Here is a 24,921-nt window from a genome sequence, read left to right as displayed (position 1 = left end):
CTTCATGATTTTCAGTATCATGAATAGCATGCAGCCAGTTTTGTTAAAGTCAAGCAGGGCTTAGTGATAGGTGTGAAGAACGTCTACCATTGTCTTGCAATAATAAAGAATGTGTAGGCTCCACAAATTATACTGGTATAGATGATAGATGCTGTAAAGACTATTCCACATGTTACTTACACAAATAGGAGTAGAAAATAGTCAATAAGGACATAGATGTTTTTAAGCAGATTATAAGTATATTTTTAAGCAGATTGATAAGTAAGTTATATTAGTAATGTAGAATAAGAGATATAGGTGTTGAATATCATAGGCATGGAGAGCATGCAAAAAACTTAGTCACCATAGAAAATGGTTTTATTTATGGTAATTTGAGAAAAGACCTGTTTGAAAAGGCTTTGATATAGCAATTAATTTTACCTAGCTCAATTCATGTCACATTAAACTGTGTAACTTTTTTTTTTTTTTTGAGATGGAGTCTCGCTCTGTTGCCAGGCTAGAGTGCAGTGGCACGATCTCAGCTCACTGCAACCTCTGCCTTCTGGGTTCAAGCGATTCTTCTGCCTCAGCCTCCCAAGTAGTTGGGACTACAGGAGTGTGCCACCATGCCCAGCTAATTTTTGTATTTTTAGTAGAGACACGGGGTTTCACCATGTTGGCCAGGATGTTCTCGATCTCTTGACCTCATGATCCGCCCACTTCGGCCTCTCAGAGTGCTGGGATTACAGGTGTGAGCCACCACGCCAGGCCCTGTGTAACTTGTTATATTCATCTAAGACTGATACAGATTAGCAGTAGACAAAGTTGACAGTAGAGACACAGACAATGTTTAACGTCTACTCTGTGGTCAAAATCCTTTCAATATAAGCAGTATATATAGCTTCCACGACAAAGCTCCCTTTCATAATAAATTAAGGTAATGCCTTGAAAATGTAAATTTATATTTACCCTATTCTGTTTACTAAGGGAAGTGTTAAATACTTTAGGAAGTGTTCTGTGCTTTCAATTGGACAGTTAGCTTTGGAATATCTTAATTATCCACAATATTACATTTCAATAACCAGACTAATTTTAATGAGGTTGTAAAGAAATGAGGTTGCAAAGAAATTGTACCTGAATAGCTGAAACCTTGTATTTCTGTTCAACTCTAGTTCTGTAAAATGGATTTTAATTCAATGTATATTACATATCAAGCATTAAAGTGAAAAATTCTTAATTTGCTGAGTCTAATGTATTTTTTTGGGGGGGGGTAATAAACTTTAAAGATAATTACCAAAACACCAAGATACCTAGCCTCCTCTTAGTAATGCATAACAGCTTTTGCATGACCTGTACAGGAAAACTCAAAGTCTACAGTACACAGGTACCAAGCTGCCTTTTGTCTTTCTAATTCAGAAAAAGCCTGATGCCTGTGCTGTAAGCACGTTAACTACAGGGAAGAAGGAAGAGTCATTATCACCAATAGCTACCCAGTCCTAGCTACTGTTAAAAAAAAAAAATGATTTATGGGATATAGTCTTTACCCTAATGGAGAAATAAATGCTTGATGGTCTAAATTATAACTTAGAATATGTTTTTCTATAAGAAAACATAAAGGATGGTTTGATGGCAACAGTGCATTAATACATTAGATATTTAATAGTTCAGGGGCTGATCTGGATTAGACAATCCAAAGTGCTGGGATTCTAGGCGTGAGCCACCGCGCCCGGCCACATAAATATCTTTATTGCGAATGTATTCCTACTCACACATGAGATCCACTCAAGCATTTGCATAGTAGAAAATGAACCTTAGAATTATTTTTCAGTCAAGAAGAACCCATGTTCTTCTTTTGATTTCAATAAAGACCGTTCTTCCTAGCAATTGTAATTAGGATAATGACTTAGTTATTTTCTCTTTTTTTGAGACGGACTCTCGCTGTGTCACCTAGGCTGGAGTGCAGGTGCGATGGTGTGATCTCAGCTCACTGCAGCCTCCGCCTCCCGGGTTCAAGAGATTCTTCTGCCTCAGCCTCCTGAGTAGCTGGGATTACAGGCGTGTTACCACCAAGCCCAGCTAATTTTATATTTTTAGTAGAGACAGGGTTTCACCATGTTGGCCAGGCTAGTCTCGAACTCGTGACCTCAGATGATCCGCCCACCTCAGCGTCCTTAAGTGCTGGGATTACAGGTTTGAGCCACCACGCCTAGCTATGATAGTTACTCTTATCTTTTGAGTTCTCAAGATGTATGAAGACATAACACCTGTATCTAAGAATTCCAGAGAAAGGAGGAAGACTAAATAGAATACAGTTAAGAAAAATACTGACAGACATGTACAGAATTATTTCAGTGAAATCATAGAAGGTGAAGAAAGGCTTTCCTGAAGAAGTAAATGTAAAAGCTAGCTAAATGTAGAAAATAGGCACAAGCATCCCAGACAGAAGGAACAGCATATGCAAGATACAGAAGTAAGAACCAGCACAACACATTCTGGGTTTTAAGGAGGAGAGAGTAAATGAAGGGAATCTGAATGTATGTGCATGTACTTACATATACACTTGCTTGTGAGTAGGCATTGGGTAATGGTGGTGAGAGTGTTGTAGAGTTGAAACTAGGGATACTGAGTTTACGTAGGAGGCTTCTGAAATAAAACAAGAAATGATTAGTGTGAACTCAAATAATGACTGTAGGCCTGATAAACAAGGGATGAATTTGAGAGTGATTTAGGAGATGGAATAAACAGCATTTAGTGTCCAGTTGTAAGAAGTACTTGAGGAGGCAGCATCTTGGATGACTCCCAGGTTTCTGCCTTGGGTAGCCACCTAAATACTGTCAGCTTTCCATTCACTGTGATAGGGAATGCAGGTGGAAAAATGGGTGTGTGTTTTGTTTTGTTCAATTTTTTTCCAGGAAGCTAAGGGTTTCATGACTATTTGTGGTTGAACACCAGTAAAGAACCTCTACTGCTTGGGAGGTGAGAACTAAATGAGAGCTGAAAATGCATTTTGTATTTGAGAGTATAGGTTGTATTATGTAGTAGAAAGAGCTTGAATGAACTTTGAACTCAAACTTTGGTTGGAATCTTGGTTCTCACATTACTAGTAGCTATGTGCCTTTAAGCAAATTATTTAGTTTCACTAAGACTTAGCTTATTCATTTGTAAAGTTGGGAGAATGATAGCCTTTTAAGATTATTGTTAAATGAGATGAGCTTCTGGGTCTGGAAGATAATGGCAACTGTCCAAATCTAAATCTCTCCGCATGTCCTCCCCAAAAGCTGTAAGAACAAAAGGACTCCACACACACATGCACACACACATATATATACACAGAAACCATACATAACTGACACTTTCAGCACTACCGCAAGACAGATGATACCATGAATTTTTAATTACCTTTATACAAGGAAATAGCACATTACAATGGTTCCTGTTGCTGCTACAAACCTGTGAGTGGGAAGAGCTGGGTAAGGAAAGGCTTAAGAGACTGAGAAAATAGGAGAAGGGAACAGAGGTTAAAATAAACCACAGGCAACATCACCCTCAGAAAAAGTCCTCAGCGTTGCCAGGTACAAAGACAGGCCTAGGACTTGGTAATTTATAGAACTAGCTACAGGAAGCTGTATGAAAGTGAGAGGGGCCACAAGCAGCAGCTTCAGAGTAGCATTGCTCCTAGAAGAGACAGAGAAAAGAACGACACCTCTTGGAGGCATGGCAGCAAGAGGAAAGGAAGGAAGTGGGGATAAAATTGAGGCTTCTAGAGAAATGAAAGAGAAACAAGGCACGGCAACCCAACCCCCACCCAACAACTCCACCGTAACACCGTCCATTATAGGCGCTCCTCTTTACTAATCTGCAGAAGTGAATGCTCTTAAACTAAGAACCCAAGAACCCTATGCTCAAGAATAGAAATGAATCAAATGCTACACAAAGCTACTTTAAGAGGAATATAAAAATTTGAAAGAAAGTGTTTCAGTTGATAAAACTTCTCCCCAAAAAAGCAAATGCAAAGGGAAAGGGCATCTCAGTGCTCCAACCAAATAAAATATTCTCAAACAAATCTGTGAACATACTACAAAAACCACAAACTTAGAAGCAGAAATCTAAACTCTGACATGAAAAGAAGTGAAAAAGGAAGAAGTGCAACAAAATTTGATTGAACACAGGAAAGAAATTGAAGAGAAAGGCAAAGCCATCTCGGGAGACTACAGTAATCCAGCTTTATAGCTGTGGTTTCGCTTTCTGCAGTTTCAGTTAGCCACAGTCAACTAGAGTCCAAAAATATTAAATGGAAAATTCCAGAAATAAGCAATTTTAAATTGTTTTTGTTTTTTGGTTTTGGTTTTTTTGAGACAGAGTCTTGCTCTGTCACCCAGGCTGGAGTGCAATGGCACTGTTACCAGGGGTCCTTGCTCCCAGAGCTCCCAAGATGGCAGCGGGCTGCTTCCAAGCTTGTGGCAAGTCTCACGTTCTCTGACCTGGGGTTCTTGGCCTCACGGATTCCAAGGAGTGGAATCTTGGGCCATGCAGTGAGTGTTATAGCTGTATTAGAAGCCGTGGGTCACGGAAGAGAACCTTGGAACCCAGTGACTAGTGTTCAGCTCAATTAGGATGAACCCGGGCACTTAGCTGTGCAGGAACAATGGCAAGCCTTTAGCCCAGTCGGGAAGAGCAGTGGGCGCCTCGCTGGATCAGGAGCACAGCAGACACCCTGCCGGATCCGGAGGGATGGAAGTCAGCGGCAGGTCTGCGATGGTGGCAAACAGCAGTGGTGGATGGGGAATGAAAGCTCAGCTCGAGCCGTAACAAACACGGACCAGAAAAGAGTGCAGTTGCAAGATTTAATAGAGTGAAAACAGAGCTCCCATACAAAGGGAGGGGACCCAAAGAGGGTAGCTGTTGCTGGCTTGAATGCCTGAGTTTATATCCTGATCATTGTCCCTCCCGCTGTGCTCTCAGGCAATAGATGATTGGCTATTTCTTTACCTCCTGTTTTTGCCTAATTAGCTTTTTAGTGAGCTCTCTTTACTACCTGATTGGTCGGGTGTGAGCTAAGTTGCAAGCCCCGTGTTTAAAGGTGGATGCAGTCACCTTCCCAGCTAGGCTCAGGGATTCTTAGTCAGCCTAGAAAATCCAGCTAGTCCTGTCTCTCAGCACGATCTCAGCTCACTGCAACCTCCGCCTCCCGGGTTCAAGTGATTCTCCTGCCTCAGCCTCCCAAGTAGCTGGGACTATAGGTGTGTACCACCATGCCTGGCTAATTTTTGTATTTTTAGTAAAGATGAGGTTTCACCATGTTGGCCAGTCTGGTCTCAATCTCCTGACCTCAGGTGATCCTCCTGCCTCGGCCTCCCAAAGTACTGGGATTACAGGCATTAGCCACTGTATCCAGCCACAATTACAAGTTTTAAATTGGATGCTTTTCTGATTGGTGTGATGAAGTCTCCAGCCATCCTGCTCCATCCTGCCCAGGATGGGAGTTATTCCTTTGTCTAGGATATGCAGCTGTTTATGCCACTGGTCCATTAGTCATTTAGTAGCTGTCTTGGTTATCAGATCAACTGTGGTGGTTTTGAAGTGCTTGTGTTCAAGTTACCTTTATTTTATTTAATAATGGCTCCAAAGCGCAAGAGTGGTGATGCTAGCACATTGTTATAATTGTTGGATTTTATTATTAGTTGTTGTTAATCTCTTATTGTGCCTAATTTATAAAGTAAGCTTTATCATAAATATGTATATATTGCAAAAACATTATAAGGTTCAATACTATTTAAGGCTTCAGGCATCCAGTGGGGGTCTTGGAATGTATCCCCCACAGATAAGGGGGGACTACTGTATATTAATTACAAGGTGCCCGTGGAGAATAGATTCAAATAAAAATCTAATAAGAGCCATTGATAAAAGGAAGGAAAACAACCAAGAGAATGTAAAAAGTAGTTTAAATTCAATACAGGCAAAAGAAGACCTAACATACTTAAAATTGGAGTCCCTAAAGAAGAAAAGCAAATCACTAGAACAGAACTAATTAAACCATAACTCAACACTTTTCAGAAATAATAGGAAATTTCAAATTTTACATATTAAAAGGCCCCATCATGGACAGATTAATACAGAACAGCTCTGAGTCATAGCCTAGTAAAACTATTAGATTTTAAAGACTTTTTTCCTGGGCCTCTTGAGAGGGGAAAAAAGATTATATTATTAATAAAATCAGGCTGACATCAGATTCCTTAAGAACAATATATTTTTTTTTGGTCTCACTCTGTCACCCAGGCTGGAGTGCAGGGGCATGATCTTGGCTCACTGCAACCTCCGCCTCCCAGGTTCAAGTAATTCTCATGCCTCAGCCTCCTGTAGCTGGGATTATAGGCATGCACCACCATGCCCAGCTAATTTTTATATTTTTAGTAGAGCTGGGGTTTTGCTGTGTTGGCTAGGCTGGTCTTGAACTCCTGGCCTCAAGTGATCCACCTGGCTCGGCCTCTCAGAATGCTGGGATTACAGGCATGAGTCACTGCACCTGGCCTAGAACAATATTCAAAGGAAGGCTACAGTAGAGCACCATTTTTAAAAACTCAAAGAAATAAAGCACAAGCTAGCCAACCTGTCTTTAGAGTATCAGATAAACAGTTTGAACACACAAGAATTTAGGAAATATGTGGTGATAATTTACTATATTTAAATGTAGATCCAAGACTTAAAACAGTGTTGGGGACATAGATGTAATTTTTATATGTTCTGACAAAGTAAAAAGAATAAAACTAAAAATAAGTGGGTGAACAAAGAATTAAGATTATTCTCCACAATATAGGTAATAAGTGAGAGTCATACAATACCTTTTAAATGGATTGACCAGATAATAAAAGGTAAAGTAGGCAAAAAGTCGATTTGGGTTACTCTAAAACACACACACATACACACACACCACCACCACCACCACCACAGGAGAGAGAGAGAGAGAACCACTGGAACAAAAAATTAAAATTTTCCTAACTACCAAAAGAAAGTACAAAAAATAAAAAAATAGCAGAAATACCACATAAAGGAAAAAAAAGAATACGTATGAATAACAAACATGGTAACTATAAAGATAGAGTTGAGTTCAAATATGTCAATCATATTAGTAAACATAAATGGGCTTAACTCATCTATTAAAATAAAAAGGTGTTCAAATGGCTTTATAAAGCAAAACCCAATTCTATGCCTTACACAAGAGACATATAAAACAGTGATTCCAACCATCAAAAATAAAGGAATGTATATGATATTACAGGCAAATGGAAAAAATAAGAAATCAGGAGTTTCCATTTTGCTGAACAAAGTAGAATCCAGGCAAAAACTATTCAGTATGACAGAGTATATTTATAATGGTTAAAGCCATAATTCACAATGAAGTTATAATATTTTTTAGTATCTAGGTACCAAATGACACAGCAAACACCTAAATATACCAGAATCACTATAGCAGAATATAGGAGAATGCAAGTAGCAATAGAAACACATAATAGAAAATTTTAAATACATCACAGTACAAATCTGGTATGACAAGATGTCTCAAGATCATCTAGTATATTTCTTGTCTCAAACCTGAAGTTAGCCATTTTTTTCAAGGACTCTTGGTTTCTTTTAATGGGAAATGATATTTATAGTTCACAATCTTTATATTAGGAGTGTTCACTTATACTGGGTTTGTCTTCAGTTCTAGGCCTTTACTAGGACATTTTTACAAAGAGAAAATACATCACTAGTCCATACTGAAGTTTTTAATTAAAATTTATGATTACAAGCTTTTTTATTTATTTGATTTTTATATTTGTATCTCTTTTGTCTTATGCTTAAAATCTAGGTTCCTAATGATATTAATAAAATTAATACATTCATCTTAACCTACAGTTTCAAATTAGTAATACAAATAGTATTACTAACAATATGGTTATTGCAAAAGGTTTAAGATGTTTGCAGTTCTTTTTCTCCATATTTTATTTCCAAATATGTATGTACAAATGACGGAGTTTTAAATTCACTTGAAATAATTTCTCTTTATATGATTAAACCACCAGCATTCTACATAATTAGATCCATTTGTTTCATTTTGCTTTTTACTTTTAGGGTTTTGTTATTTTTATTTTATTTTTGCTTTATTAAAAAATTGTTTTAAAGAATTCAAGATAGTTTAGCTGACAGTTGTAGTTTATTTTAAATAACAACTAAAAGTCTTGGGTTTCTAGGAATAGTGTTTCATCAAAAGTTAGCCAAGAAAGTTTTTCTTGATTTTTTTTCCCTAAAGTAGATGAAATATTTACTAATATAATAGTTTCATTTATCCTGTATATGTACTAGAAGCCTCTAGTCTCCAAGGCAGCTCTAAAAAGTGCCACACACTACTACCACACACACTATTTCTAAACACTAGTCTGGATTTTATATTAATATTTTCTAAGACATTGGAACTATCATCAGAGCCTTGCATGAAACTCGTTTTAACAAACCCTTAGCCTACTAATTTTGGTTATTCAGAGTCTCAATTATATACATAGCTGCTCATCTATCTTTCTAGTGCTAAAGTGATTTTTAGGCATAATAATTTAATATAAGTAAAAGTATGTGCCATAGAATATGATACACTCTGGCTCAAAATCTGGATTTTACAACTTTAAATGGGCCAGGCGCAGCAGCTCATACCTGTAATCCTAGCACTTTGGGAGGCCAAGGTGGTCACATCTCTTGAGCCCAGGAGTTTGAGACCAGTCAGACCAGTCTGGGCAACACGGCAAAACCACATCTCTACCAGAATAATATAAAAATTAGCCTGGAAGGTCAAGGCTGCAGTGAGCTGTGGTCACACTACTGCACTCTATCCTGGGCAACAGAGCAAGATAAATATCTCAAAATAAATAAACATAAATAAAAGTTTAGATGATTGTATTGGGTCATGAAAATCTGTTTTTGTGACAGCAGTAGCAAAATATAAGATTGTAGATACTGTGTCTCTTTTGGGGAAGTTGAATCTTAAAATGTGTATAATTCTGTGATTTCTCTTTTTCAGAGGCTGATAAAATACCAGTAATGCGTGGACAGTGGTTTATTGACGGCACTTGGCAGCCTCTAGAAGAGGAAGAAAGTAATTTAATTGAGCAAGAACATCTCAATTGTTTTAGGGGCCAGCAGATGCAGGAAAATTTCGATATTGAAGTGTCAAAATCCATAGATGGAAAAGATGGTAAGATCAATTGATACATTTAATATATTCTACAAACCAAGTAAGTTGTTGATAAAGTTTAGAGTGGTTTGTAAATTTGACATAATAATTCAGGAGGTTTAGAATTAGAAAATTTGATTTTTTTAAACATTTGATTATTCTAGAATTTAAAAATTAACTACTATAAATATCTGAACTATCTCAATTTTTATTTTAATATGTATGGTAAGTGTCATGATATTAACACAGTTTACTATAAATGTACAGATTGTTACAATGCACTCCCTATTTAATCTTTTTTAGTAATTTTTTAGTTATCAAAGGAAATTGAACTTAACCCAAAAATTCCTTGTTGTTATATCAAGACAAGTTTCATTAATATTTCAATGTTCTTTTCCTGAAGTTCAAAAAAAAAATCTTTAATTATCTTTGTGTATCTCTTAGTTATCCCCTATTGAAAACCATATCAAGTTTTAATTTGAAACAATCTACTCATTACATTTCTTTATTCAGCACTTGCATATTTTTGTAACAGTTCAAAATACTGTATAGTAGCTAAGATTGCCACATTTTCATTGTGTGTCTAAATCTTGAGTAAACTTCAAAATATGTGGTAAAGTTAAAAATACTTCTATTGTTCCATTTACTGCAGGCAGTGGGATCAACTATTCTGGTGAGTATAACTGTACAGGTAGATTAGAATTTGTAGATTTGTCTGAAGTTTTTCTTCTAAAACCGTTTCTTCATCCATGCTAGTCTTTATTTGGGAGGTTTCTTGGCAAGCTCTACTGAATCTAATGAATTAAAATATTAATTGATTTTTTCCCTTCCCCTCCTAAAACATCTCTAAAGCAGAAAAACTCAATATTGATCAGGTGATTTACAGAATGAAGCTTGAAAAAAACGAATTATGTGGTTGGAAGTAATTGTTTACATAACATAATTAATGTCAGCACTAAGCTTTAAGTTGGCAGGGGATTTTTTTCTTCTTCTTGTTAGTAACACTCCATATTTTTTCTCTCTGCCACTCTTTGCTCTCTCTTACCTCTCTGAACATATGTATACATTTGTCACAAGCAAGGAAACTGTGTAGTTTAGCTTATATCAAATTAAAATATCATTTGCATCTAGTTGATTAAAAGTCTATATAACTGAGGAAACTTGTGACTTCTGAATAAATTAGCAATTAAAGCTAACAAATTTATATAATAATAGTTGTCTTTTATGTGCCAGATACCATACTCTGGAAATTCTAAATATATTTTCCTAATCGGTAGAATCAAATATGTCCTTATTTCACTGTAAAATTTAAACTAAAGGTTCTTACATATCAATAAATAAGGAGCAGCCCAGTGTAAGAGCTCTAGGTATGTTTCTACAGATTGCCATGTAATACTTTGTTCTCCTTATAGTAAAAATAGCAAGTTTTATATATCTGTGATCTTATGGTAGTGACTGAAATATTTCATAACTTCTCATCACTATTGGTCAGAATAATTTCAAAAGTCTACTTCATAGTATTTGAAGGATAGACCTTTTATCATAAAATAATCTTATTGCCATTGGAGAAGTCTGAGTTCCAGATTTTTTTTTCCTTCTGTTAATTCCCCTAAGTATTCTGCCTCAAAAATGTCAGTTCACCATCACAAACCCAGTTTAGCCACCTGAATTTCTTATTATTAACACATGAAAAAAATCCAGGAGCTTGGAGGAGAAAGAGGATGAGTATGAAAAATACAAGTAGATGGTTCCCCTTTCTCATTCTGTGTTCAGAACTTTTTTTTTTTCCATTTGCTAAGTCACCCTGTGGAGATTAATAATCAGCTCTGTTTCTTCTCTAGATTCTGCCTGTTTCTAATCTTGTTTTTACTACAATAAAAATTAGAATTTAATATGTACTTTTTACTTCTGCTTCCTGCCTAAATGCTAAATGTAGCAAGATACTTCAGTTTTTCTCAAAGTGTTTGAATTTAAATAAGACTGATGTAAGAAGATGGTTTATTTGTGTGAGTACATTTTTTAGAATGTCTTTGCGTATGTGTATGTGTGAGTGTATATATCAGTTCTAGGGTAGCAATCTCTAGGATATCGTAATATTTTTTGTTATCTTTATGGATATACATGGAGTAGTAAAATTTTAATTAGTAATGGAAAATTATTAAATTATTAGAACACTTTTGCATTGTAATCTTTCAAAAATGATGATTCTTTGAGGTTCATTAGAAGAAAATTTGTTTTTATAATGTACTGTGGCATATAAGATTCAGCATGTTCTGTTATTAGCAAAGATGTGTTCAACTGAACATATCTTTGTCATAATTTTTGGTCACTTTATTTTTATTCAATATTAAACATATATTTATATCTTGTTACATTTGGCTTTGAAAATTATGGGAAATTGTGTAGTACATTTGAAAATAATAACAAGTCTTAAGGAAAGAACATTTGCTATCCAAAAAGCTACCATTGTCGGGAAAATCATTCAAATTTGTAACTACAAAGACTAAAAAATATTATAATCTTTTTAATTTACTGTTAGCTCTAAGCTTCTGAAATTTTATACTTCATTAGTTTGAGGGAGGAAAATACCCTTTCCACCTAAATTTTCTCATGTATAAAGCCTTGACTATTCATATTGTCAGATTTTGAATGATGCCATGTATAGTAATGTGGTAGGCACTTTTGTGAAAGAAATCGACAAGGTTTCTACCCTCAAGGAGTTTTAAGCCTGTTAGAGTAGACAAAGCCAACAGATGAAAACAGTTACAAAAGAGTAAGTACAAGAAGACATAGTAGTAGACAGTCAATATTACATATTCTGAAAAGATATTTGGAATAAAGTGAGTAGATAATCACAATGCAGTGGAATTATTCACATAAGGCTTTCTGGAAAAACCTCATTTAATAATTTAAAACATTTTAAAATACTATATTCAGGGATGTTTATTAAATGCTCTAGGGAATATCAAAGAAACTAATAGTTCTTGCCTTCAGGGACATTAAAATAAATAATAATTCCTTTTTCTTCTGACCTTGGCTGTTTGGTTAGGGTTGTTCTTGCCACAAACAGATTAGCTGTACAGTTGTCCCTTGGTATTTGTGGGGGATTGGTTTTAGGTACCCCCTACCACCACCAGATACCAAAATCTGAGGACATCCAAGTCCCTTTAATAAAATGGAGTGGTATTTGCATGTAACCTGTGAGCATACTCTTATATATTTTATTTTACTTTTTGGAGACAGGGTCTTTCTCTGTCACCCAGGCTGCAGTGCAGTGGCATAATCACAGCTCACTGCAGCTTCTAACTCCCGGGCTCCAGGACCCTCCCACCTCAGCCTCCCAAGAAGGTGTACACTACCACACCAGGCTAATTTTTTTTTTAAATTTTTTGTAGAGACAGGGTCTCACTATGTTGCCCAGGCTGGTCTTGAACTCCTGGGCTCAAGTGTTCCTCCTGCTTCAGCCCCCACAAAGTGCCAGGATTACAGGTGTGAGTCACTGTGCCCAGCTCTGTCTTGTATATTTCAAATAATATCTAGATTATTTATGATACCTAATACTATGTGATGCCATGTAAATAGTTGTACACCATGTTGGTTTTTGATTGATAATATTTTTTATTTTTGTGTTTTATTGTTTTTTTCCCCACATATTTTTGGTCTGTGGTTGGTTGAATCTGCAGATCAGGAGTGCCAACTGTATTTAATCTTTTCCTCCTTATTAACTTTCCTTACTAATCTCAAAATGAGCATTGAATTAAAAAAAACATGAAAATTTGGTACAGTGTGTAACTCTTTGTAGCATACAAATAAAGATAACCCACAAAGAGATAATGACTTTGTGATTTAGATACTTTAATCTAAATTTAGTTCTCTGTGAGAGTTAAAATGAAAATTGATTTTCTTCTTACCCTACCTCCTGGGCTAGAAAATGTTTAGCAGTTTAACAAATGAAAGCCTACTGTTTCACTTGGGATGAAACATAAAAATAGAAATCAAGATGTCAACAAGTAATTTGGTAAACATTAATACTTAAATCTACTGCTGGATTAGTGTTTCACTCATTTTACATCTTATTGATCCAAACATGCATAGTAATCAGTAAAAAATAGGTTGAACTGAATGGGTAAGTGCAGCACATCACTCTGCCCAAAAAATGAGTAAACTCAATTCAGTCGTGAGAAAACTCGTACTGAGGGTGATTCTACAAAATAACTGACTGACCAGCAGTCTTCAAAAGTGTCAAGGTCATGAAAGACAAGTAAATATTGAGGAATTTGTCACAGAATAGACTAAGGAGACATGACAACAAAATGCAATGTGGTACCCTAGATTGGATCGTAGAACAGAAAAAGATACTAGTGGAAAAACTAGAGAAACCTGAATAAAGTCTGTATATTAGTTGATAGTATTGTACCACTGTTAATGTCTTAGTTTTGATAATTATACTATAGTTATGCAAGATGCTAACATTAGGAGAAGCTGGATGAAGGATATGTCATAGCTCCCTGTACTATTTTTGCTATTTTCTGTTAAGTCTAAAATTATTCCAAAATACAAAGTTTAAGTCTAGTAGAGGAATTAAAATGGAATACTAAAAAATATTCAATTAACCCAAAATAAACCAAGAAAAAGGAACAGAGATACAAAAAACAGATGGGACAAAGAGAAAAATAAATGGAAAAATGGCAGACCTATTCACCCATATCAATAACAACAAATATAAATATATTTGTATATATAAGATAATTAATACTCCAGTTAAAAGGCAAAGTGACAGATTGTTTAAGAACGCAAGACCTGACTATAAAAATCACAGATAAATTGAAAGTAAAAGATTGGAATTCTTACTGTTCCAGGTAATTTCAGGTGCCATAGCAGCACAGGTGTTGGTGTCTCTGTAAAGATTTATGACATTTAACAAGTTGGTGGATGAAGTGTGTATTCCTATCACTGTAGCTGAATAAATATACCCCGTACTGTGAACATAGCATTTCAAAGCTCGATTAAAAAGATGGAGGGGTGCTCACCTTCTAACTAGCTTTCCTTTTCTTCTCTCTTTGGTGACTAAGAGGATTCCCACCTTCTAGCTTTTAGTTATTATTTAATTTTTATAAATTTATCTAACTTTATTTCTCTGAGGTCCAAGAAAGATTGCCAGAAATTTTCTCATTATAGTTGGCAGGTTAGAGATGTGTAAGACTGCTTCCCTGGGGTTGGAATTTTTCAGGTTGCCAGCTTTTCTAAAGGGAAAAGTTAGTTTTTCTGTTGTAGGAATTAGTATGTCATCAGCAGCAGTAACCCTCTTTTGTGATACTCTTGTGCTTTCAGAGTTATATAATGCAGAAAGTTTCTTTAAGATATAGTAAGGAAATTTATTGGAAATATTTTTAGTATTTTAAATCTTTTTCATTGCTATGTAAGACTTTAACATATTAATTTTTATTAAATGTTAGCACTAATAAATTAGCATTTGCAGTTGTGTTTTGAGGTTATGCATCTTTTGCTAATACTGTGTAAGAATTTCTAACTAAAACTGTATTTTAAAAAAAGAAAATTAAATAGTGCTTTCTGGCACTTGAATTTTCTTTAACAGTGATCTTTGTTTGGATCGATAGTAAACTCTTTTTTTCCTCTACTGTACTTATCATAGTACCCCTAATTCTGTGCTTTGGGTTGAAAAAGTTAAGCTCTGTATGCTACAGGATGTGTAATAAATAAAGCAAATGACTTTCAAGTGAAAATAAGAATTACATTTGAAAAGAAAGAACCATGTCTGTTTAATTTTGTGAAAATGTTTTAAATATGTTTCTCTGGAGGATGAAAAAAATTTTTTTCTTTGTTTCTCTGTGTATAGGGGTGTTTGTCTTTTTATTAATCCTTAAATTATACTATTCTTTTAGAAAAGAAAGCCTTCATTTGTGTATCTTGGCTAGCTTTCCGAAAGCGTTTACATAATTTTAAAACATGGTCAAATGGTCCATACATTTCCCATTTCGTTCTCGTTTAATATTTAATAATATGGAATTGGTTCACGTTAGTTTTACTACCAGATCTACAAAATCTAGTTTTTGTTTCAAGCAGTAAAGTCTCAAGTTTGTGTCAGTTTGATTTACTTTGATATATTAGCATCTTTTTCCTAATGAATTTTTTGTTTAAAACTGTTTCCTGGTCTAAGTGGTACATCTGCTCCTCAGTAACTGACCAGAAGGCACATGAAAGAAGAAACATTTTCAGTGAAGAAAATTGCATCAGTTGTCATTTTTTACCTCTCTGTGACAAGGAAATGTTGTTATAATCCTGACGTAGCACAGCTTTTAGTTCCAGTTTATAGTTTTGTAGCCATCTAATTACATATAGATATAGTTATTGTGTCTTGTAAGCATTTCTCAATTACTTTTATTACACAAATCTTTGCATATACTACATCTGCATATTCAACAGATTTGTTACATTTCTAGTATTATAAAACAGGAATTAAATATTTTTGTATTTGAGCAGTATTTAACCTTTGAATGTCACATTAATATAGAAGGGAGTGAGGATGAAAATCAAATGTATTTGAACATGAATTTGAGCTAATCATAAAGATCCTGTAATTTATTAACTGGTGAGAAACTAATTTGTAAGGTTCAAGTTCAAGTGAACTTTTAAATAATTGCTTACTTAAAATATAAAGAAATTTATATAACTACCAAAATTTGACAGGGAAAATGTTGACTTTAAGGTTATCTACTGATTTGCCAAATATCAAGTCTGTGCCTAGCTTTACTCTATGTTGTCTGTTTAGTGCTTACAAGTTGTCACAGCATACATTTTTACTAATGACTTTTTTCATTATTTTATTACAGTCTTTTCAAAAGCAAAGTTAAAAGCAGAGCTTCCAGTTTGATTTTTGTTTTTTAGTAAAAGTTTTGTTTTTTAAAGTCTTTTAAGAACTTGAATGGAGTTGAGAAAAGAATTTTTTTTTTTCCCTAAGGGAAGGTTCCATTATACTTCAGCAGTGGAAAGCATCTAGTAGAATGTATGCTGTGGTATCTTCTCAGGAAGGTTGCATTAGATATGTAAAATGTTATTTATTGCATTTTCAATTTGTACATCAGCTGTTGGCTGTGTCAGTCACAAATTTGGTGAGAGTAAATAACCTTAGTGTTGTAAAGATGGAGTTTATAAATCTCTTGGCATTTGAAAATGTTATGTTCTTTTTTAAAAATTCTTTCTATGCAAAGACATTAAACATGATAATCAGTTGTTTTTAATAAATTTAGATATTATTTGCCTTTTTTCTTTCAGTAACAGCAGCTATTTGATAAACATTATACTAATGTTTTGCTTTACTGATTCTTAGAAATCATATAAATGAAGCATTTAGAATAATGTTTTTCAAATACAACTCATTTTTTAAAGTTAATACTAGAACAAAAAGGCAAAATGGCAAATCTCATTTAAAATTTACTTTGAAGCTCAGTGTTTTTGCTTTCTTAGTTGTCTACCACCTCCCTCCCTTCTCCCTCCCTTCTCTGTTCAAATGGAGAAGATATAAGGAGAGTACAGATGCGACAGGTCTTAAACGAAAGCATTCCCAAGGTACAGTAATTGTAGTTTTATTTCTCCATGTAGTTATATTCCTGGCTTATAGTATTCAGTTGCATTTAAAGCATAGAAATTATTAGTTTTTTTTAAATGTGTCCATTGTATTAGTTTGTTTACTGCTACTTTATTATGTGTATAAATATTGGTAAACAGTGTGTATAGTCCAGTAACAGGATATTCAGATGTTCCCCAACATTAAAATGGTTTAAGATGATATATGGATGATTTAAAGAGGAAAATAATTTTTCTGGCTTAACACTCATCTCTAAATATCTTGATCTCATAGTTTAACGTTTTAAGCATCTGTTGCTCACAACTATTTTAACAAAAATGTGGTTTAGAAACATATAAGAGCTTGAAGTAGTGGCATGGATCAGATATGTAATTAGAAAAGTGATTGTTAAACCCTTGCAAAAGATTTTTTTTAGTTTATGAAAAGCTCTTTTATTTAAAAAGCTGACCTTATACATTATTTTCTTTGGAACCGAAGATATAATTTATGTTTATTATGTTAATTGAATCTTGATCTGGTGTACAGTGTTAGTAATGTGCCGTGGCAGGTAAGTAAAATATAAATTGGTTTTTCATAAACTTCTGAAGTTGCATATTTAATATAACTAAGAAGTACAATTCCTCATAATGTACTTGTATCCTAGTGGGGAATAGGTTTTCATAAAAATGTCTTATGATCATACATCTTGACCAGAGCTATATCTTTTTATATTTAGCTTGAGGTTATTTTCAGCCCATCTTTAAATCAGTAGAGTTAGACTCTGCCAGTAGCTAACTCTGTGGCAGGTCAGTTTGTCTCTTTGTACCTCTGTATTTTTGTAAGTAAAATGGGAGATAATATTTTGCCTTGAAAGAATTTTAAGAAAATAAATCAAGCATAGTGATTTGAAGGTACTTAGCTTTCTGAAGATGGGTATGTTAATTTTTCCTACCTATATACCAGAGCTATAAAGGAAAAGCTTAAGGTCCTCAAAACATAAGAATTATCAAATTATGAATTGATGGATATGTTATATCAATTTCTTCACTACTTCCACAAACATTGCTGTATTTGTGGTATGTGCCAGACACTGTGATAGGACATTCTGTTTGGTGCTAGGGATATATAAGAAATGGTCAAGACACATTCCCTGGCTCCTGGGGCTTACGAATTCCTAAAGAAAATAGGTTTGGAATTTTTTTAAGGCCTCATTTTCACCAAGCATATCCCCAGTTACAGAAATGCAGCAACCATACTGATTTTTTTTTTTTTTTTGAGACAGGATCTCTCTGTGTTGCCCAGGCTAGAGTGCAGTGGCATGATCATAGCTCATTGCAGGCTTGACCTCCTGGGCTTAAGCGATCCTCCTGCCTCAGCCTCCCAAGTAGCTGGAACCACAGGCACATATCACCAAGCCCAGCTAATTTTTTAGTTTTCTTTTTAAGAGACGGGGTCTCATTATTGTTGCCCAGGCTGCTATCAAACTCCTGGGCTCCAGTGATCCTCCTGCCTCAGCCTCCCAAGTAGCTGGAACCACAGGCACATATCACCATGCCCAGCTAATTTTTTAGTTTTCTTTTTAAGAGACGGGGTCTCATTATTGTTGCCCAGGCTGCTATCAAACTCCTGGGCTCCAGTGATCCTCCTGCCTAAGCCTCCCAGAGTGCTGGATTACAGACGTGACTGACTGCACCCAGCCAACCATACTGATTTGAACATCATGGCAGAAAAACATTTCCTTAATTTTGTATTACTAAAATATCTTTCAATTTTGGATTTCTGCTATGATGAGCAATATCCAATAATTATTGGCTTTACTATCCATTCCAAAAATACCTCATTTTCTAATAGATTATTTTTTTCCCAGTTTAAAGGTAAATTTTTTTCCCCTCTGAGTCTTATTTTGTCTAGTACTTAGTGAAATTTTTTTCTTTTTTTTTTTTAGACGGAGTCTTGCTCTGTAGCCCAGGCGGGAGTGCAGTGGCGTGATCTCGGCTCACTGCAAGCTCCGCCTCCCAGGTTCACGCCATTCTCCTGCCTCAGCCTCCTGAGTAGCTGGGACTACAGGCGCCCGCCACCACACCCGGCTAATTTTTTTTTGTATTTTTGTAGAGACGAGGTTTCACCGTGTTAGCCAGGATGGTCTCGATCTCCTGACCTCGTGATCCGCCTGCCTTGGCCTCCCAAAGTGCTGGGATTACAGGTGTGAGCCACTGCACCTGGCCACTTAGTGAAATTTTTACAAATCCTTTGATATTTTTAGTAAAATCAGTAGAAGAAACTGAAATTAAGTTGCTCTGTCAAAGCTATTGAGGGCTTGAGGTATATATGCCTTAGACCCAGTGAAGAGTCAGCCACATCACCCGGGAAAGCAGTTAATTATCAAAACACATAGAAGCTGTATATTAGAGGTTAAAATTATGATAGTTAAGTAACTCAATGGTTTAAAAAGTTGCCATTCCCTGTAGCAGGATTAATCATTTATAAAATAAAGTCCCTATCCATTACTTGCTTCACATAACTTTTTTTATGTGAAATAGTGTTTTATTGAATTAAGTTCCATATCTGAGTTTTTTAGATAACATATTGATTTTAAAATCTGAGTGTTATAATTCTTCAAACAAATAAAGTTTGTCTTGGAGACCTTCAAATTAGCTTTTCCTTTTTGCAATAGCTGTTCATAGTTTCAAGTTGAGTCGAAACCATGTGGACTGGCACAGTGTGGATGAAGTATATCTTTATAGTGATGCAACAACATCTAAAATTGCAAGAACAGTTACCCAAAAACTGGGATTTTCTAAAGGTAATTGTTAAATATTACTAGAGCTTATCAAAATTTTGGGAATCTGACTTTCTCTCATATTCAAAATAGACAATTCATATTCTGTTTTTAGTATGTTTTAAGTATATTAAATTTAGTGACAGATTCCTTTTTAAATGAAACTTTTATTAAGTTGATTGAGTTGACATGTGTTCATCAAGGAATAATTATTATATATTTAGAATGATTTGACAAAATTAATAAATATCTTTTATACTTCTAAAAGCACAAAAGCTGTTAAACCTAAAATGTGGCAGTTGAAATATAGTGTCAAGGAAGATGAGGACTGAAAGTTTTCCATTGTATTTAGTGATCTGGAGGTCACTGGTGACTTAGATGGATTGATGGGGCAGAAACCAGATCGGCATGGGTTGAAGCGTAAGTAGAAGGTGAAGCAATGGAAGCAATGAGAATAGACAACTCCTTTTTTTTTTTCTTCTTTTATTTTTAAGATGGGGTCTCACTCTGTCTCCCAGGCTGGAGTACAGTGGTGTGATCATAGCACATCATAACCTGGAACTAATTCCTGGGCTCAAGCAATCCTCCAAACTCAGCCTCCTCAGTAACTAGGATTACAGGGATGCATCACTATGCCCAGCTAATTTTTTTTATTTTTTTGTAGAAACGGAGTCTCCTTGTGTTGTCCAGGCTGGTCTCAAATTTTTGGGCACAAGCCATCCTCTCGCCTTGGTCTCCCAAAGCTCTGGGGTTACAGGCTTGAAATACAGTGCCTGGCCTGACAACTGTTTAGAGAAGTTTGACTAAATGAAAGAAAAGAGAGAATGATACCTGGGAAAGATGTGAGAGCATTATCAAAAAATAAATGTAAAAAGAATTTTAAAGTTTGATAAAATTTTTATATCCTATTTTAAAATTTTAATTTCATCAATAAGTGTGCTTTGAATATCTTTTTATGTTTATTAGTTATATTTATTTTGAATTACCTTCCATAACTTTAACTTATTTTGCTATTTGAATGGTTGTCTTTACTTTTTAATTAGTAAGCTCTCTCTGTATACTTAAGTAATTATGTGTTATATTTTGCATATTTTTTTCCAGTTTGCCATTTCTTTTTTCCTGATATTTTCTTATTATAATATAGAAGCTTTAAATTTTTATATATTCAGTTTGTCCTTCTTTCCTTCCATTTCTTTCTCTTTATGGTTTCTGGCTTTGGTGTTGTGTCCAGTTCACTTTATATCACAGCTGATCAATATATACCTTCTTACAGTTTTTATTTCCTCCCCCACAGCCAGTGAAATTTTTTCATAATATTCCTTTTACTTCTTTTTTTTCTTTTAACATATTGTGGAAATGCTATTTCTCAGATTAAATAGTAAACTTAGAATTATAATTTTTCTACAGCATCAAGTAGTGGTACCAGACTTCATAGAGGTTATGTAGAAGAAGCCACATTAGAAGACAAGCCATCACAGACTACCCATATTGTATTTGTTGTGCATGGCATTGGGCAGAAAATGGACCAAGGAAGAATTATCAAAAATACAGCTATGTAAGTTCTTTGATGAATGCATTGTATATCTAATCTAGAATCCAAACTTTGATCCAGGGTATAAGAGATATTAACAGTATACTAATTCCACTGCATGTTCCTCCAGTGCCAACTATTCTAATACCTCTTAAGTCATAGATCAAGTATCTGGACCAAATTTTGAGAGGGATTATGTCTACAGGATGATGACAATGTTTGATCTTTCTCCCCACAGTATGGAGAAGAGGGATAAGGAAGCCTTTTTTAATCTAATACATTAAGTTAATTTATAATCTAACATTGAAAGCAAGAAGAAGATCTAGTTTTAAGTTACATCTTACTCTCTGAACTTCAGAAACTAAGAATACTGCAAAGCTGCACAACTCTAAAAAGGCTAAGAATTAGCCAGTTAGCAGCTTAACCTATCCAATTAATTGCTACCCAAGGAAACTGAACTCTGAATTTTATGTGGAAAACAGTGGATTATTTACCAACACACCAGACAGGTTATTTACCTCATTAGTTTATTTATATTCAGCTTTATCCTGAAACTTTTTAAGATGTCTTAGGGGTATATGTGATATTTGCGTGTTTCAAAAACATTAACAACTTTGTTGAAAGGGCATGTTAGGGTTAAGGGTTCCACCACAAATTTGGCTCTGAGCTAGCAACCAGTATAAAGAAAAATATAATCAGTTATAGATGATGCCAAGAGAACAAGTCTGTTGTTGACAAGCCCAGTTTATTTGATTCTGAGGCTTATAAAGGCTTGAGTCCTTATAAAGCAAACAGTGTGTGATACCAGAAAGTATGTCCTCAGCAACACCTCTATAATAATAATGCAATGCTGAGTTTTATTTCACTTTTTATTGTAACATCTCTTAATGCCAGCTAACGGATTAAAGTTAAAATACAATTCAACTTTTTTTTTTTTATTATACTTTAAGTTCTAGGGTACATGTGCACAACCTGCAGGATTGTTACATATGTATACATGTGCCACGTTGGTTTGCTGTACCCATTAACTCATCATTTACATTAGGTATTTCTCCTAATGCTATGCCTCCTCCATCCCCCCACCCCAGTGGGGCCCGGTGTGTGATGTTGCCTACCCTGTGTCCAAGTGTTCTCATTGTTCAGTTCCCACATATGAGTGAGAACATACGGTGTTTGGTTTTCTGTCCTTGCGATAGTTTGCTGAGAATGATGGTTTCCAGCGACATCCATGTCCATACAAAGGACATGAACTCATCCTTTTTTATGGCTGTGTCATATTCCATGGTGTATATGTGTCACATTTTCTTAATCCAGTCTATCATTGATGAACATTTGGGTTGGTTCCAAGTCTTTGCTATTGTGAATAGTGCCGCAATAAACATACGTGTGCATATGTCTTCATAGTAGCATGATTTATAATCCTTTGGGTATATACCCAGTCATGGAATGGCTGGATCAAATGGTATTTCTAGTTCTAGATCCCTGAGGAATCACCACACTGTCTTCCACAATGGTTGAACTAGTTTACAGTCCCACCAACAGTGTAAAAGTGTTCCTATTTCTCCACATCCTCTCCAGCACCTGTTGTTTCCTGATTTTTTAATGATTGCCATTCTAACTGGTGTGAGATGGTATCTCATTGTGGTTTTGATTTGCATTTCTCTGATGGCCAGTGATGATGAGCATTTTTTCATGTGTCTGTTGGCTGCATAAATGTCTTCTTTTGAGAAGTGTCTCTTCATATCCGTTGCCTACTTTTTGATGAGGTTCTTTGACTTTTTCTTGTCAATTTGTTTAAGTTCTTTGTAGATTCTGGATATTAGCCCTTGTTTAAATGGGTAGATAGCAAAAATTTTCTCCCATTCTGTAGGTTGCCTGTTCACTCTGATGGTAGTTTCTCTTGCTGTGCAGAAGCTCTTTAGTTTAATTAGATCCCTTTTGTCAATTTTGGCTTTTGTTGCCATTGCTTTTGGTGTTTTAGACATGAAGTCTTTGGTGTTTTAGACATGAAGTCTTTGCCCATGCCTATGTCCTGAATGGTATTGCCTAGGTTTTCTTCTAGGGTTTTTATGGTTTTAGGTCTAACATTTAAGTCCTTAATCCATCTTGAATTAAATTTTGTATAAGGTGTAATTAATTTTGTGTAAGGAAGGGATCCAGTTTCAGCTTTCTGCATATGGCTAGCCAGTTTCTACATATGGCTAGCCAGTTTTCCCAGCATCATTTATTAAATAGGGAATCCTTTCCCCATTTCTTGTTTTTGTCAGGTTTCTCAAAGATCAGATGGTTGTAGATGTGTGGTGTTATTTCTGAGGCCTGTGTTCTGTTCCATTGGTGTATATCTCTGTTTTGATACCAGTACCATGCTGTTTTGGTTACTGTAGCCTTGTAGTATAGTTTGAAGTCAGTTAGCATGATGCCTCCAGCTTTGTTCTTTTTGCTTAGGATTGTCTTGGCTATGTGAGCTCTTTTTTGGTTCCATATGAACTTTAGAGTAGTTTTTTCCAATTCTGTGAAGAAAGTCATTGGTAGCTTGATGGGGATGGCATTGAATCTATAAATTACTTTTGGCATTATGACCATTTTCATGATATTGATTCTTCCTATTCATGAGCATGGAATGTTCTTCCATTTGTTTGTGTCCTCTTTTATTTCATTGAGCAGGGTTTGTAGTTCTCCTTGAAGAGGTCCTTCACATCCCTTGTAAGTTGGATTCCTAGGTATTTTATTCTCTTTGAAGCAATTGTGAATGGGAGTTCACTCATGATTTGTCTCTGTCTGTTATTGGTTTATAAGAATGCTTGTGATTTTTGCACATCGATTTTGTATCCCGAGACTTTGCTGAAGTTGCTTATCAGCTTAAGGAGATTTTGGGCTGAGACAATGGGGTTTTCTAAATATACAATCATGTCATCTGCAAGTAGGGACGATTTGACTTCCTCTTTTCCTAATTGAATACCCTTTATTTCCTTCTCCTGCCTGATTGCCCTGGCCAGAACTTCCAACACTATGTAGAATAGGAGTGGTGAGAGAGGGCATCCCTGTGTTGTGCCAGTTTTCAAAGGGAATGCTTCCAGTTTTTGTCCATTCAGTATGATATTGGCTGTGGTTTTGTCATAAATAGCTCTTATTATTTTGAGATATGTTCCATCAATACCTAGTTTATTGAGAGTTTTTAGCATGAAGTGCTGTTGAATTTTGTCAAAGGCCTTTTCTGCATCTATTGAGATAATTACATGGTTTTTGTCTTTGGTTCTGGTTATGTGATGGATTACGTTTATTGATTTGCATATGTTGAACCAGACTTGCATCCCAGGGATGAAGCCAACTTGATCTTGGTGGATACGCTTTTTGATGTGCTGCTGGATTTGGTTTGCCAGTATTTTATTGAGGATTTTTGCATTGATGTTCATCAGGGATATTGGTCTGAAATTCTCTCTTTTTTGTTGTGTCTCTGCCAGGCCTTGGTATCAGGATGATGTTGGCCTCATAAAATGAGTTAGGGAGGATTCCCTCTTTTTCTGTTGACTGCAATGGTTTCAGAAGGAATGGCACCAGCTCCTCTTTGTACCTCTGGAAGAATTTGGCTGTGAATCTCTCTGGTCCTGGACTTTTTTTGGTTGGTAGGTTATTAATTATTGCCTTAATTTCAGAGCCTATTATTGGTCTATTCAGTGATTCAACTTCCTCCTGGTTTAGTCTTGGGGGAAAGGTGTATGTGTCCAGGAATTTATCCATTTCTTCTAGATTTTCTGGTTTATTCGCATAGAGGTGTTTATAGTATTCTCTGATGGTAGTTTGTTGTATTTCTGTGGGATCAGTAGTGATAATCTTTTTATCGTTTT

General features: G+C 35.3%; 1 protein-coding gene across 10 annotated transcripts in view, besides 1 other annotated feature; it reads left to right on the top strand.

Moving 5' to 3' along the window:
- The window catches only part of DDHD1 (DDHD domain containing 1), a 116,569-nt gene that overhangs the window by 40,439 nt on the left and 51,209 nt on the right, over nt 1-24,921 (top strand). For 2 of the 10 annotated variants that reach the window (XM_011537189.3, XM_011537188.3), the window contains exons 2-6: nt 9,029-9,202; nt 9,834-9,854; nt 16,667-16,768; nt 19,441-19,569; nt 20,953-21,100. In XM_011537189.3, coding sequence (XP_011535491.1) covers nt 9,029-9,202; nt 9,834-9,854; nt 16,667-16,768; nt 19,441-19,569; nt 20,953-21,100 — 574 coding nt within the window. The remainder of the gene's footprint in view (nt 1-9,028; nt 9,203-9,833; nt 9,855-16,666; nt 16,769-19,440; nt 19,570-20,952; nt 21,101-24,921) is intronic. The other 8 variants (XM_017021668.2, XM_005268102.3, NM_001160147.2 and 5 more) reach the window with 4 other exon arrangements.
- Nucleotides 3,570-3,869: an enhancer, noted in NCBI's record as "active region_8399". NCBI's record gives its function as "activates an Ori minimal core promoter by ATAC-STARR-seq in GM12878 lymphoblastoid cells {active_cell/tissue: GM12878}" and the evidence as "EXISTENCE:reporter gene assay evidence [ECO:0000049][PMID:35858748]".

Source organism: Homo sapiens, chromosome 14 (genome assembly GCF_000001405.40).
Source record: "Homo sapiens chromosome 14, GRCh38.p14 Primary Assembly".
NCBI classification, from domain to species: Eukaryota; Metazoa; Chordata; class Mammalia; order Primates; family Hominidae; genus Homo; species Homo sapiens.
This window is presented reverse-complemented; position numbering and strand designations above follow the sequence as displayed.